This window comes from Homo sapiens, chromosome 1 (assembly GCF_000001405.40).
Source record: "Homo sapiens chromosome 1, GRCh38.p14 Primary Assembly".
Classification (NCBI taxonomy): domain Eukaryota; kingdom Metazoa; phylum Chordata; class Mammalia; order Primates; family Hominidae; genus Homo; species Homo sapiens.
Genome location: NC_000001.11, coordinates 244,500,530 through 244,516,956, shown reverse-complemented (window position 1 = coordinate 244,516,956; position 16,427 = coordinate 244,500,530). Strand labels below are relative to the sequence as shown.

At 38.4% G+C, this 16,427-nt stretch overlaps 1 protein-coding gene across 23 annotated transcripts in view, besides 1 other annotated feature; it reads right to left on the bottom strand.

The window, feature by feature from the left end:
- Positions 1-16,427, bottom strand: part of CATSPERE (catsper channel auxiliary subunit epsilon) — a 189,263-nt gene that overhangs the window by 123,548 nt on the left and 49,288 nt on the right. The gene's annotated exons all lie outside the window — the stretch shown is intronic.
- Positions 3,308-3,808: an enhancer, noted in NCBI's record as "H3K4me1 hESC enhancer chr1:244676451-244676951 (GRCh37/hg19 assembly coordinates)". NCBI's record gives its function as "activates a minimal SCP1, AML or CMV promoter by ChIP-STARR-seq in naive H9 embryonic stem cells {active_cell/tissue: H9 hESC(naive)}" and the evidence as "EXISTENCE:reporter gene assay evidence [ECO:0000049][PMID:30033119]".

Genomic DNA, 16,427 nt, shown 5'->3' with positions numbered 1-16,427 from the left:
TATTGGTAAATATTATTGCTAGGAACATCATCAGAGACACAGTCTTTTCCATGGTTAGGACTATTTCTTTTGATAAGATTCTTGGAAGTGTGATTGCTGGGTCAAAAGTTATAAACACTTTAAAAACTCTTTTAGGCTGGGTGCAGTGGCTCAATGCCTGTAATCCCAGCACTTCGGGAGGCCAACGTAGGTGGATCACCTGAAGTCAAGAGTTCGAGGCTAGCCTCGCCAACATGGTGAAACTCTGTCTCTACTAAAAATACAAAAAATAGCTGGGCCTGGTAGCACACGCCTGTAGTCCCAGCTACTCAGGAGGCTGAGGCAGGAGAATCACTTGAACTCAGGAGGTGGAGGTTGCAGTGAGTTGATATCGTGCCACTGCACTCCAGCCTGGGCAACAGAGAGACTCCGTCTCCAAAAGAAAAAAAAAAACAAAACCCTTTTAGCATGGCACGGTGGTGCGCACCTGTAGTCCCAGCTACTCAGGAGGCTGAGGCAGGAGGATCACGTGAACCCAGGAGTTTGAGGCTACAGTGAGCTATAATCACACTACTACACTCCAGCCTGGGTAAAAGAGTGAGACCCCATCTCTAAAAACAAACAAACAAACAAACAAACAAAACTCTCTTGATACATATTGCCAAAATAATTTCTAAAAGAATTATACCAATTTATGTTATTACTAGTGATCTATGACAGAACAAGTTTCATTATATTACTGCTAATGTTTGCATTGTTATTATTATTATTATTATTATTATTATTTGAGACAAGGTCTTACTGTGTCACCCAGGCTGGAGCTCAGTGGCTCAATCACAGCTCACTGCAACCTCTGCCTTTCAGGCTCAAGCGATCGCCCAACCTCAGCCTCCCGAATAGCTGTGACAAGTGTGTGCCACCACGCCCAGCTAATTTTGGTATTTTTTGTACAGATGGGGTTTTGCTATGTTGCCCAGACTGGTCTTGAACTCCTGGGCTCAGGCAATCCTCCTGCCTCAGCCTTCCAAAGTGCTGGGATTATAGGTGTGAGACACCATGCCTGGTATTATTATTTTTAATAGCATTATTATTATATTATTATTATTTTTAATAGTATTTTAAAATATACTAAATAGTATTTTAAAATATTATAATAGTATTGTTATTAAAAATAACAATAATTTTTCTAGTTGTATCAACATATGGCTGTACATGTTGTTAAATTTAATAAACATAGTTGATCTTACCTGATTTTTTAGCAGCATTTGATACATTGGATGAATCTTCCCGTTTGAAACATTCTTACTTGGCTTCCATGTTATCACTCCCTCCTGCTCTATTAATGGTTCCCAGGGTCTGGCCTTAGGCCCCCTCTCTTCTCAGAGTATATTCTCTTCCTACGTGATCTCATTTCACTCATGGCTTCAAGTACCATCCAATTCCTGTACAACTCATCAAATTGTAAGCCAGATCCCAAATTTTATATCTAGTTCTAGATCTGAGGATCTAATTAGATTATTAATCGTGACTTCCAGTTGTCTGAGAAGCACTTCAAACCAATATGTTCAAAACTACACTGCTGCCTTGAGGCTTGCCTCTCAAACCTGCATTTATAAATATTTGTTGAACAAATAATGAAAAAAATCTCACCATCCAGAGGAGAGTATGTATCTTTCATGAGACAGCTGTGATCAGGGAATTCTAGACAGAAGGAACAACAGTTACAAAGTCCCTGAGGTGGGAGAGGAGTTACTATGCTTGAGGAATTGACAGGAAAATAACGGCTCGTGTATAGTAGAAGGGGGAGACTAGTAAGTGGATAAGGTCAGAGAAGAGATAGGCAAGGGCTACATCATGCTAAGCATTGTATGCTTTGGAAAATAAGTTAGATTTTATTCTTAGTACAATGGCCAAACATTGAAGAGATTTTAAAATAGGATTTTAAATTATTTTATTTCAAAACTGTTTGACTCACAAGAAGTTTCCATGTACCCTTTCCCCAGCTTTTTCCCAATGGGAATAGTTTACATAATCCTAATGCATTGTCTAAACTAGGAAATTGATGCTGATACGTTATTAACTCGGGTACAGACCTTATTCAGATTTCACCAATTTTTCCAGGCACTCTTTTTTTTTTTTTTTTTTTTTTGAGATGGAGTCTTGCTCTGTCCGCCAGGCTGGAGTGCAGTGACGTGATCTCGGCTCACTGCAAGCTCCACCTCCCGGGTTCATGCCATTCTCCTGCCTCAGCCCCCTGAGTAGCTGGGACTACAGGTGCCTGCCACAACGCCCAGCTAATTTTTTGTATTTTTAGTAGAGACGGGGTTTCACCATGTTAGCCAGGATAGTCTCAATCTCCTGACCTCGTGATCCACCCGCCTCGGCCTCCCAAAGTGCTGGGATTACAGGCGTGAGCCACCGCGCCCGGCCCAGACACTCTTTTATTTATTTATTTAGCATAGTTCTGTAAAACTTTATCACATGCGTAGATTCACGTAATTACCACCACAACCAGAACACAAGAGTGAATACATCACATAGAAGAAACTCTGTCATGTTACCACTTAAGATTCACAGCTGCCCACATATCCTAAGCCCTGAAAACCACTTAACTGTTTTGTATTACTACAATTTGTCACCTCTAAAATGTTCTATAAATGGAATCATACAGTATTCAATACTTTGAAAGTGGCTATTTAACTCAGCATCCATCCAAGTTGTTGGGCATTATCAATAGTTAATTCCTGAAATGTTAAGAGCTAAACGATAAAACTCTTAGAAGAAAACATAGGGAAAAATATTCATGACATTGGATTTGGCAATGATTTCTTGGATATGACACCAAAAGCCCGGGTAACAAAAAGAAAAATAGCTTTCATTAAAATTAAAAACTTCTGTGCCTCAAAAGTCCCTATGAACAGAATAAAAAGATAATCCACAGGATAGAAGAAAATAGTTTCAAATCACATATCTCATAAAACATTAATATCCAGAATATATAGAAAACTTAAACCTGAGCAATAAAAAATAACACCAAACAACCTAATTAAAAAATGAGTCTGGGAGCACAGGGATCAATTTGCTCCACCCACTACAGCCAGTGGCCATACACACCATTGGAGGACCTGAGGTTATACCCAACCCACCTGCAGCTTCCACCAGTGCGGCCTGCATGCATTTTTTATCTGGAGGCCTGGGAATCCACCTGCCCTGCCCACCACTGCCAGTGCCCATGCACACCATCTGAGGGCCTGAGGATGGTCCTGATCTGTCCACTGCCACCACCACTACCAGTGCCCCAGCATGCTATCTGGGGACCTAGGGATAGATCCACCCTGCTCGTTGCAAGCGGCACCCACATGCACCACTGGAGTCATGATGATAGGCCAGACCTGCCTACATCCACCTTCACCAGTGCCCGCATGCATCATTCAGAAGCCTAGGGGTCAACTCACCCCAACTGCCGCTGCCAGTGTATATGCATGTTGTCCAGGGACCTGGAGATTGATCTTCTCCACCTGCTCCTACTGACACTCACATATACCCTCCAGGGGCCTGGGGATTGTTCTGCCCTGCCTGACACCACTGGCACTTATGTATGCCTTTCAGGGGCCTGAGAATAGACCTGTCCTGCCCATCACTTCCACCATGTGGATTTACTGAAGACCTTGGGACTGGCCTGCCCAACCTGCCACTGGCACTGGCACCCACATCTGTGTGCCACCTGGAGGCCTGGGGATTGGCCAATTCAGCCCACCACTGCAATTGCTGGTACTCACGTGCTGCAAGGGGGCTGAAGGGTTGGCCTCCTGCTGCTACTGCCACTGCTTATGCAATGAATGCTGCCAAGGGGCCTGCGGACCTGACACCCATCTGGCCCACTGCTGCCACTGCCAGCACTCAAGCAAGCCACCTGGAGGCCCAAGAATTGGTCTACCCAGACCTGCTACTACTAGTGCCCATGTAGGCTGCCAGGGGGTTCACGAACCTGATGTTTAGCCAGCTGTCCCTACCACTGGTGTCCATGGACCAGCCTGCCTGGTTCTCCTGTCCCCAACAAAGCCCCACCATAGCCTTCAATAACAACCACAGCCTAAGCCACTGCAAAACTCAGAGACATCATTGATGCTGATTATATAGCTGAAGAAATCATGCAGGGACTACACTACTGTGCCCATCCAGAATTAAAGCCAGAGTAACCTACCCAACCAACACTGAAGAAATATCCAAAGGAAAATGTCTTCCACTATGAAAGCCAATCTATAAAACTGAAAGAAGCAACTTTTATACCAGATGCACAGATACCAATGTATCTGTGCAAGACACAAGAAACATGAAAAAGCAAGGAAACATGGCTCTTCCAAAGGAACACAATAATTCTCTGTAACAGATCCCAACAAAAAGGAAATCTAAGAAATGTCTGAAAAGGAATTGAAAAAAATGACAATAAAGAAACTCAGAGAGGGAGGAGGAAAAAAAGAAACTTAGTGAGATACAAGAGAACACAAATAAACAACACAAAGAAAATAGGAAATCAATTCAAGATCTGAATGAGAGATTTAACAAACAGATAGATATTAAAGAAAAAGGTCAAACAGAAATCTTGGAACTGAAGAATTCAATGCATAAAATTAAAAATACAATTAAGAGCTTTAACAATGGACTTGATCGAGCAGAAGAAAGAATTTCTGAACTCGAAGACAGGTCTTTTGCAATAACCCAGTCAAACAAACAAAAAGAATAAGAAAGCATGAAGAAAGCCTATATGACATATGGGATACCATAAAGCAACCAGATATTTGAATTTTGAGAGCTCCAGAAGGTGGAGAGACAGGCAAACACATAGAAAAGCTATTTTACAAAATAATCGCTGAAAACTTCCCAAGCCTTGCAAGATATATAGATATCCAGGTACAGGAAGCTCAAAGATCTCCAAATAGATTTAACCCAAAAAAGGTTTTCTCCAAGGTACATGAATTTCAAACTGCCAAAAGGTAAAGGCAAAAAGAGAATTCTAAAATCAGCAAGAGAAAAGCATCAAGTCACATGTAAGGGAATCTTCCTCATATTAACAGTGGATTTCTCAGCAGAAACCTAATAGGCCAGGAGAGAATGAGATGATACAGTCAAAGTTCTAACTGCCAGTGTGGAATACAATACCTAGCAAAGCTATCCTTCAAAAATAAAGAAATGAAGTCTTTCCCAGGTAAGCAAAACCTGGGGGAATTCATCAACAATAGATCAGCCCTACAAGAAATGCTTAAGGAAGTCCTATATCTGGAAGTGAAAGGATGGTATCTACCATAATGAAAACACACAAAAGCATAAAACTCAATGGTATATCAATAACACAAAGAAGAAAGAGAAAGGAGTCAAATGTTACCACTACAGAAAACCACCAAACTGCAATGATAAACAATAAGAGAGAATGAAGGAACAAAGGATATACAAAAGAACCAGAAAAAAATTAACAGAATGACAGGAATAGTCCTCACCTATAAATAATAACCTTGAATGTAATGTAAATGAATTGAATTTTCCATTTAAATGACATTTACAGGCTGAATGGATTAAAAAAAAACACAATCCAACTATATATTGCCTATAAGAAACTCACTTCACTTGTAAAGATACATGAAGATTCATAGTGAAGGCATATAAAAAGTTATTCCACACAAATGGAGTCAAAGTGAGCAGGAGTAGCTATTCTTATAGTAGGTAAAACAGACTTTAAGTCAAAAACCATAAAAAGAGACAAAGAAAGTCATTAGATAATAATAAATAAATCAGTTCAGCAAGAGGATATAGCATTATTTAGAAATGTTATATGCATTCAGCCAGGCGCGGTGGCTCATGCCTGTAATCCCAGCACTTTGGGAGGCTGAGGTGGGTGGATCACCTGAGGTCAGGAGTTCGAGGCCAGCCTCACCAACATGGTGAAACCCTGTCTCTACTAAAAATACAAAATTAGCCAGGTGTGCTGGTGGGCGCCTATAATCCCAGCTACTCGGGAGGCTGAAGCAGGAGAATTGCTTGAACCTGGGAGGCGGAGGTTGCAGTGAGCCAAGATGGTGCCATTGCACTCCAGCCTGGGCAACAAGAACGAAATTCTGTCTCAAAAAAAAAAAAAAAAAAAAAAAAAGAAAAAGAAAAAGAAAAAAAAAAGAAAGAAATGTTATATGCACTCAACACACCCAGATATATAAAGCAAATATAATTACATCTAAAGGGAGAAATAGACCTCCATAAAAATAATAGCTGGGGAGTTCAACACCCCACTCTCAGCATTGGACAGAACTCTAGATAGAAAATCAACAAAGAAACACTGGATTCAAACTGCACTTCAGACTAAATGGACCTAACAGACATTTACAAAACATTTTGCATAAAAAGTACAGAATACACATTCTTTTAATCAACATGTGAAATGTTCTCCAGAAGTGGCCATATATTAGGACACAAAACAAATCTCAAACATTTTTTTAAAAATTGAATTCATATCAAGTGTCTTCTCTGACCACAGTGGAGTAAAATTAGATGTCAAAAACAAGAGGAATATTTGAAACTATAAAAATACATGGACGAAAGTGGACATTCTAGGGAAGAAAAGAACGCATGGAAATTAAACAACATGCTCCTAAATGACCATTGGGTCAGGAAAGAAATTAAGAATATATTAAAAAATTCCTTGACGCAAATGAAGATAGAAACACAACATATCAAAATCTATGGGATGCTGTAAAAGCACTGCTAAGAGAGAAGTTTATAGCAATAAACACCTAGGTCATAAAAGTAAAAGGATCTCAAATACACAACCTAATGCACCTCAAGGAACCAGAAAAGCAAGAACAAATCAAACCCAAAATTAGTAGAAAGAAAGAAAGAATAAAGATCAGAGCAGAACTAAATGAAATAGAGACTAAAACACATACAAAGAATCAACAAAACAAAAAGTTGATTTTTAAAAAAGATAAAATCGATAAACTGCTACTTAGAGTGACCAAGAAAAAAAGAGAGAAGACTCGATAAAATCAGAAACAAAAAGGACACATTACAACTGATGTGGATCCACAAACCTTCAAAGGATCCTTAAGGACTATTTATGAACCACTATATGCTAACAAATTGTGAAACCTAAAGGAAATGAATAAATTCCTGGACACGTAAAATCTACCATGATTATACCAGGAAGAAATAGAAAACCTGAATAGACCATTAATTAGTAACAGGATTGAATCTCCAATAAAATGTCTCCCAAAAAAGAAAAGCCCAGGACCAGATGGCTTTACTGCTGAATTTTACCAAACTTATAAAGAATAACTAATATCGGTTCTCTGCAAACTATTCCAAAAATTTGAAGGGGAGGAAATTCTCCCTAACTCATTTTACAAGGCAAGCGTTACCCTGACACCAAAACCAGACAAGGACACAACAACAACAACAAACTACAGGCCAATATCCCTGATGACAGAGATGCAAAAATTCAAAACAAAATACTAGCAAAATGAATCCAACAAGACATCAAAAAGATAATACACCATGATCAGGTGAGATTCATCCCAGGGATACAAGGGTGGTTCAACATATGCAAATCAATAAATATGATATATCACATCAACAGAATGAAGAACAAAAACCATATGATTGTCTTAACAGATGCAGAATAAGCATTTGATAAGATTCAACATCTCTTCATGATAAAAAAAAAAACTCGACAAATTAGGCATAGAAGGAACATACCTCAACATAATAAAAGCCATATATCACAGACCCACAACTAACATCATACTGAATGGGGAAAAGTTGAAAGCTTCTCCCTCTAAGAACTGGATCAAAACAAGGATGAAGGATGCCCACTTTTACCACTCCTATTCAACATAATATTGGAAGTCCTAGCCGAGCAATAGACAAAAGAAAAAAAAAAGGATCAAGGTTGGAAAATAAATTGTTCTTCTTTGCAGATGACACAATGACACAATTTTTTTTTTTTTTGGTGGGGGAAGGGGCACAGAATCTCACTCAGATCATGGCTCACTGCAGCCTCAAACTCCTGGGCTCAAGTGATCCTCCTGCTTTAGCCTCCCACGTAGCTGGCACTACAGGCACGTGCTACTATGCCTGGCTAATTTTTTTTTTTTTTTTTTTTAGAGATAGGGTCTCACTATGTTGCCCACACTTGTCTTGAGCTCCTCTCAAGCAATCCACACCACCTTGACCTCCCAAAGTGCTGGGATTACAGGTATGAGCCACCACACCCAGCCAACACAATCTTATATATAGAAAAACCTAGATTCCACCAAAAAAATGTGTAGAACTAGTAAATGAATTCAGTAGTTGCACAATACAAAATCAACATAGAAAAAACAGTAGTGTTTCTGGCCAGGCGCAGTGGCTCACGCCTGTAATCCCAGCACTTTGGGAGGCCAAGGTGGGCGGATCACAAGGTCAGGGTATTGAGACCATCCTGGCTAACACGGTGAAACCCCATCTCTACTAAAAATAAAAAAAAATTAGCTGGGCGTGGTGGCGGGTGCCTATAGTCCCAGCTAATCGAGAGGCTGAGGCAGGAGAATGGTGTGAACCTGGGAGGCGGAGCTTGCAGTGAGCCAAGATCGCGCCACTGCACTCCAACCTGGGTGACAGAGTGAGACTCTGTCTCAAAAAAAAAAAAAAAGAAAAGAAAAAACAGTAGTGTTTCTTACACCAATAACAAACTAGCTGAAAAACAAATCAAGAAAGCAATTCCATTTACAATAGTTACAAAAAAAATTACCTAGGAATAAATTTCAGGAAGTAAAAGACCTCTACAAAGAAAAGTATAAAACACTGAGGAAAAAAATTGAAGATGACATAAACAAATGGAAAGACATTCCATATTGCAGTATCAGACCAATTAATATTGTTAAAACGACCATACTACCCAGAGCAATGTACAAATTCAATGCAATCTCTATCAAAATATCAAGGACATTCTTTACAGAAATAGAAAAAAAAATCCTAAAATTCATATGGAACCACAAAAGATCCCAAGTAGCCAAAACAATAATGAGCAAAAAGAACAAAGCTAGGGGCATACACAACCTGACTTCAAGTACAGTACAAAGCTATAGTAAACAAAACAGCATGGTATTGTTATAAAAACATAGACTGATAGAATAGAGAATCCAGAAATAAATCCACATATTTACAGCCAACTAATTTTTGACAAAGGCACCAAGAACATACATTTGGGAAAGGATGCCCTCTTCAATAAATTGTGCTGGGAAAACTGGATATCCATATGCAGAAGGATGAAATTAAACCTTTATCTCTCACTATATATATATCAACTCAAAATGAATTAAAGACTTAAAGGTAAGACATGAAACTATAAAACTACTAGAAGAAAACAGAGGAAATGCTTTAGGACGTTGGTCTGGGCAAACATTTTACAGCTAAGACTTCAAAAGCATATGCAACAAACACAAAAATAGACAAATGGGACTTTATTAAATTAAAAAGCTTCTACACAGCAAAGGAAACAATCAATGAAGTGAAGAGACAGTCTGTAGAATGGGAGAAAATACTTGCAAACTATTCATCTGATAGGTAACCTCATATGCTGTTGGTAGGAATGTAAATCGGTACAACTCCTATGGAAAACAGTATGGAAATTTTTCAAAAAACTAAACATGAAACTACCATGCAATCCAGCAATCCCACTACTAGGTATTTATCCAAAGGAAATGAAATCAGGATGTCAAAGGGATACCTGAACCCCCATGTTTATTGTAGCATTATTCACAATAGCCAAATATGGAAACAACCTAAATATTCAGCAATGGAAGAATGGGTAAAGAAAATGCAGTCTATATATATGATGTAATACTATTCAGCTATAAAAAAAAAGAATGAAAACCTGTCATTTGCAGCAATATGCATGGAACTGGAGGCTATTATTTTGAGTGAAATATACCAGGCATAGAAAGAGAAATATCATATGTTCTCATATGTGGGAGCTAAAAAAGTGGATTTCATGGAGGCAGAGAGTTGAAAAGCGGTCACCAGATGCTGGGAAGGCTGGTGGGGGTGGTGGTGAAGAGAGGCTGGTTAATGGATATAAACACACAGTTAGATAGAATAAGCTCTAGTGTTTGATAGCATAGTAGGGTGAAGCTTAATCATTTATTGTATATTTGAAAATAGCTAAGAAAGTTGATTTTTAACATTCTCAGCACAAAAAAAAAGATAAATGTTTGAGGTGATGGATATCCCAATTACCCTGATTTGATCATTACACATTGTATATGGGTACCAAAATATCACATATACCCCCAAAATAATCTATACACAATCTAATAAGATTATTAACAAGATTATCAAAAATCTTGTTACTCAATAAAAACAAAATAAAACTCCCTCCTCCAAAGACAAAACAAAACAAGTGTTAGTGAGGCTGTAGAGGAATTGGAACCTTTGTGTACTGTTAATGGGAATGTAAGATGGTGGAGGTGCTATGGAAAATGGTGTGGCAGTTTCTCAAAACAATAAAAATAGAATTACCATGGGATCTAGCAGTTCCATTTCTGGGTATATACCCAAAAGTTTTTAAAGCAGGGATATGAGCAGATATTTGTGCATCCATGTTCATAGCAGCATTGTTCACAAAAGCCAAAAGGTGGAAGCAACCCATGTGTCCAGTGATGGATGAATGGACACACAGAATGTGGTATATTTTATATATATATGATGGAATATTATTCAGCCTTAAAAAGGGAAGAAATTCTGAAACATGCTAAAACATGGGTGAACCTTGAAGACATTATGCTAAGTGAACTAAGTTACAAAAGGTCAAAAATATTGTATGATTCCATTTACATAAATTATCTACAAGCCAGTATGAAACCCTGATCTTAAACTTCTAGCCTCTAGAACTGACAGGAGATAAATTTCTGTGTTTTTTGGTTTTGTTTTGTTTTTGTTTTTGTTTTTTGAGATGGGGTCTCGCTCTGTCACCCAGGCTGGAGTGCAGCGGCGTGATCTCGGTTTACTGCAACCTCCGCCTCCCGGGTTCAAGTGATTCTCCTGCTTCAGCCTCCTGAGTAGCTGGGACTACAGGTGTGTGCCACCATGCCCAGCTAATTTTTTGTATTTTTAGTAGAGATGGGCTTTCACTGTGTTAGCCAGGATGGTCTCCATCTCCTGACCTCGTGATCCACCCACCTCGGCCTCCCAAAGTGCTGGGATTACAGGCATGAGCCACCACGCCCAGCCAAATTTCTGTTTTTTAAGCCACCCGGTCTATGGTATGTTGTTAGGATCACCTGAGCTGACTAATAACATGTATGCTGGAAACATACATGTTAAGCAAATGGATGGCAGATGGTGGGAGTCTAGTTTCTTATTCTTAAGGTAGGAGATTACAGCTAAGCAAGCAAGGAGTCCAGAATGATTAATGTGGTCATAGATTAGGGTTGAAGCCATCTGTATAAACTCACATTTAGCTTAATATAAATACAGATAGTTAAATATGGAAAAATTTATAGATATGTGTGTATATATGCTTGGATTAGTACACACATATATGTTTCCTTGCTCTGACAGCTGAGAGAGGAAAACAACCAAACATCAAAAAGCACACCTAGTACCCCGATCTTGATGTCTAATACCTTTCTCTAATAAAGGAACCGAAACGGTCCAGAGCTCCTAGGAGAAATGCCTGATTCTAGGACTGGGAATGTAAGATGGTGCACGTGCTATGATGCAGGAATTATACCGGATTAGCTTGGAGCATCTTATAGTGCCAGTAAGAAAGAGAGTGTTAACAACAAAGAAAACAACAAAACAACCAAACAACAAAACCCCACGATGATGAGAGAATGTCAAAGGGATGCAGGAGCTGACTGAAAGAGCTCCCAATAAATAAAGTAGTATTGGATTGTAACCCAAAACATAAAATAAATATTCATGAGTCCACAGTGATATAAATAAATGATTGAATAAGTAAATAAATAAATCAGGGATAAGACAAGTTTGCCATAAAATAAGAATTCCAAAAATATTTATGTAGATACTCCTTTCCTTAAGAAGGTAAAGTATAACTGTACTGAGTGACTTACTTCCAAGGCGAACAACATGGACAGGGAGAAGAAAGAGGAACTTTACAGTAGAGGATCACAATCACAAGCCAGGTGATGAACGCAAACATCAGCAGCGACACATCATATGATTGTATGCGCCCTTGATTGCGCGTAATGGGAATGCCACTTTACTTCTGCGGTCTTCCTGCCTGAAACACCTAACTCCAATCTGATTATGAGAAAAATCTCAGATGAATCCCAATGGACTGACATTTTACAAAATATCTGACCAGCAATCCTCAACATTTCCAAGGGCATCAAAAGCCATGAAAGTCTAGAAACTGTCACAATTAAGAACGTAAAGAGACAAGACAACTAAATATAATTTGCTATTCCTGGTGGGATTCTGGAATACAAAATGAACATTAGCTGAGGAAATGTGAATAAAATATGGACTTCTATTAATAATAATGTAACAATATTGGTTCAGTAATTATGACAAATATACAACAGGAAGATATTAATAATAGAGAAAACTAGGTGTGGGATAAACAGGAACTCCTTGTACTATCTTTGTAATAATTCTGGAAAACTAAAACTGTTCTAAAAGAAAAAGTGTTTTTGAAAAGTGAATGAATGCAAGGTGAGGACATAGAAACCTTATATTTAAAAAACTCTTTCAAAATGCTTAGATATGAAATAAAAGGAACATGGTATTGCCATCAGTATTTCAAGTGCAGATAAATAGCTGGATATTTGTGTGCTCTTTTATTTGTTAAACATGGTGAACAGAGGAATATTTAACTGTCCCACATTGGTTTTACATTCTACTATGGTTACCATGTTAAATAAAAAAGAAACATGCTTATACACAGAGTCAAAAATAAAACTTTAGAAAAAAAGGAAAAAAATAAGCATGAAATATCTCCAGGTCATAGAAAACTATAAAAGTGAAACACAAAATTTGTTAAATAACCAAATAAAATGTCTGAAAATAACTGATATGAGTAACTCAGTGAGTGGGTTTAATAGCATATTAGAAATAATTTTCTAGGTGCAGTGGCTCCCACCTGTAATCCCAGTGCTTTGGGAGGCTGAGGTGGGTGGATCGCTTGAGCCCAGAGGTTTGAGACTAGCCTGGGCAATGTGGCAAGACCTGGTCTCCACAAAAATTAGCCAAGTGTGGTGGTGTGTGTCTGTGGCTCTAGCTACATGGGAGGATCACTTGAGCCCAGGAGGCTGAGGCTGCAGTGAGCCATGATTGTGCCACTGCACTGCAGCCTGGGTGACAGAGTGAGACCTCGTCTCAAAAGAAACAAAAATTTTAAAAAGAAATTATTTTAGCAACCTAGAAGTTGGTCAGAAGAAATAGCTGAGCCAAACGTGGCACAGAGAGATAAAAAGAGGGAATATATTGATAAGAGGGTAAACGTGATGGCAGATGAATCAGATGGGTCTAATATATGTTGAAATGGAATTTCAGGAGATAGAATAAGAACATGTTTATTTGGAATCCCAGAGGAAAGGGAGAAAAATGATGAGGCACAGACAATATTTGAAAAGACGTGGCTAATAATTTTCAGAAGATTGTGGAAACCCCAATCCACAGATTCATAAAGTCAAATAATTCCAAGTAGAGTAAATTTTTTTTAATTCACATTTAGATACATCATAGTAAAACTGCAGAAAACAAAAGACAAAGAGAAAAATCTCAAAAGCAGCCAGAGGAGAAAAGATGGATTACTTACTTATTCAACACCTCTTGTAACCTGTAGCACCCTACTTTTTAATCTAGCCAATTCTGGCAACACACTTCACACATTTATAACCTGATAGAATCTCCCATCAACTCTAGCATCATCAACTCAAGCATCATTTTCCCTTCTCTGTCAAGGCCTGTCTATCCCTGCATCTTGGCTGCCCGTGGAAACCTATTCTGCACTTAGATATGCACAACCAGGACAGGAAGTACCAGGAGTTAACAAGCCAGGGGGAAACCTCTGACCAATGGGGGATGGGAACCTTTCTCTCCTCTGTGAGGCAACTCTGAGGCATTTTCTGTTCTTCTGTTGGACAATTTTCAAACCTATTCTACATGGCTTCTTGGAGGAGCTCAGCAAGATTGTGCTCTAGTGGTCCACGGCAGTGATAGCCTAAAAATTGTATCTCCCTCCTTTCCTGGCACACTTTTCCTGGTCCTCCACTCTTATTTCCTGGCATCACCTCCAAAAATGAACTACAAGCACACTTCTGGGGAGCCCAGGTTAAGACACTTTCGAAGGAGTGAACAGGCAGAAAGATGGTTTCCTAACAGCAACAGTGGAAGTAAGGAGCCGGTGAAACAGTGTCTTTAAAACACTGAGACAGAAAAACTGCTAACTGGCAACTGAAGAGAGTTGCCAGTTAAAAAGAATATACACAGGCAGAACAAATATAAAGCAAATCTAAGAATATATTGTGTCTCTATTAGATGAAAACGAACTTAATGCTCTAATTAAAGACATATAATGCCAGTCAAGATAAAAAACAGAAACAAAAACTCAACTTTATAGTGTTTATAAGACACATATTAAAAATATAAGTCTGGTTTGAGTTGGTGTTTGAAAAAAACTGTAAGGATACAGGAAGCTTAAAGTAAAAGCAGGAAAAATGTACAGCCACATACAAATATTCATCCCCCCAAATCTGGTTTAGCTATATCAGAAAAACACATTGTAAAACAAAGCATTTCTAAAGATAAAGGTGGTCATCACTTCATTTCATCATTGTGGATGATTGATCAAAACTGTAGTTTCAAAATAATCCCCTCAATCTGCTCATGTGAAAAAAAAAAGCCCTGATTCGGTTATGGCAGATATCTTGAAGGCAGTGACACCTAATTAGAGACCTAAAACATGAGTAGAAGTTACTGAGATGAAGAAAATGGCTGCGCGGTTGATGTGCAGGGAACAGCATCAGCCAAGACACAGATGCATAGAACAGCAGGTGTGTGTGAGGAGACAGCAGAGTCCAGTGGCCGGAGGCAAGATGTGTAGAGAGCTGAGGCCAGAGAAGAGGGGCAGAGGCAGATAAGGTTTTGTATTTCACATTAAGAGCCTAAGAGTTAAGAGTCTATGCTGTTTCTAATGGAGAGCCATAGAAAGGATTTAATAAAATTATATCATCATGGATAAATGTGCAGATGAAAAGAAAGTATTAAGTATGAATGCACTAAATAACATTAAAATGTGCATATTTACTTAAAATGATTAGAAATTAAGTCAATATCATACTTAAAGTGTTTAATTACCATTAATTTATTTTATTCCCTCTAAAGTTGATTACCAGATGAAACAATTGGTTGCGTATCCTTCTGATTTATCAATCCTTCCCTTGTGAATTTGATTACCATGAGATAGGATAATATGCTATTTAAAAATCAGACAGCTCTTGACTCATTAAAATGTAAACAGTCCCATGAGAAATTAACAGTTAGCTAATTCCTCATTTTAGATTTTTCTTTAATACATTTCAATTGTAACAGAAGACAAAATTTAAATCTTGAAAGAGGTAAATTTGTAACAAAAAAAGAAAGGATTTATTTATTCACTGTGTTGGACCTTTAGAAAATTCATTTATCTTCAAGTGATAAAGGATTCAATAAGTGATTAGACAGATTTTTAAAGAAGGTTTTGATATGGATGCTCAAGGAACATCTCTAAAGCACCTTAATGGTCAGCCCCTTCATGAATGATGAGGTTAATAGAAAATATGCCCTATACACCAATAACAGAAAAGCAGAGAGCCAAATCATGAGTGAACTCCCATTCATAATTGCTACAAAGAGAATAAAATATCTAGGAATACAACTTACAAGGGATGTGAGGGACCTCTCAAGGAGAACTACAAACCCCTGCTCAAGGAAATAAGAGAGGACACAAACAAATGGAAAAAATTCCATGCTCATGGATAGGAAGAATCAATGTTGTGAAAATGGCCATACTGCCAGCAGTAATTTATAGATTCAATGCTATTCCCATCAAGCTACCACTGACTTTCTTCACAGAACTAGAAAAAACTACTTTAAATTTCATATGGAACCAAAACAGAGCCTGAATAGCCAAGACGATCCTAAGCAAAAAGAACAAAGCTAGAGGCATCACGCTACCTGACTTGAAACTATACTACAAAGCTACAGTAACCAAAACAGCATGGTACTGGTAACAAAACAGATATATAGACCAATGGAACAGAACAGAGGCCTCAGAAATAACGCCACACATTTACAACCATCTGATCTTCGACAAACCTGACAAAAATAAGCAATGGGGAAAGGATTCCCTATTTAATAAATGATACTGGGAAAACTGGCTAACCTTATTCAGAAAACAGAAACTGGACCCCTTCCTT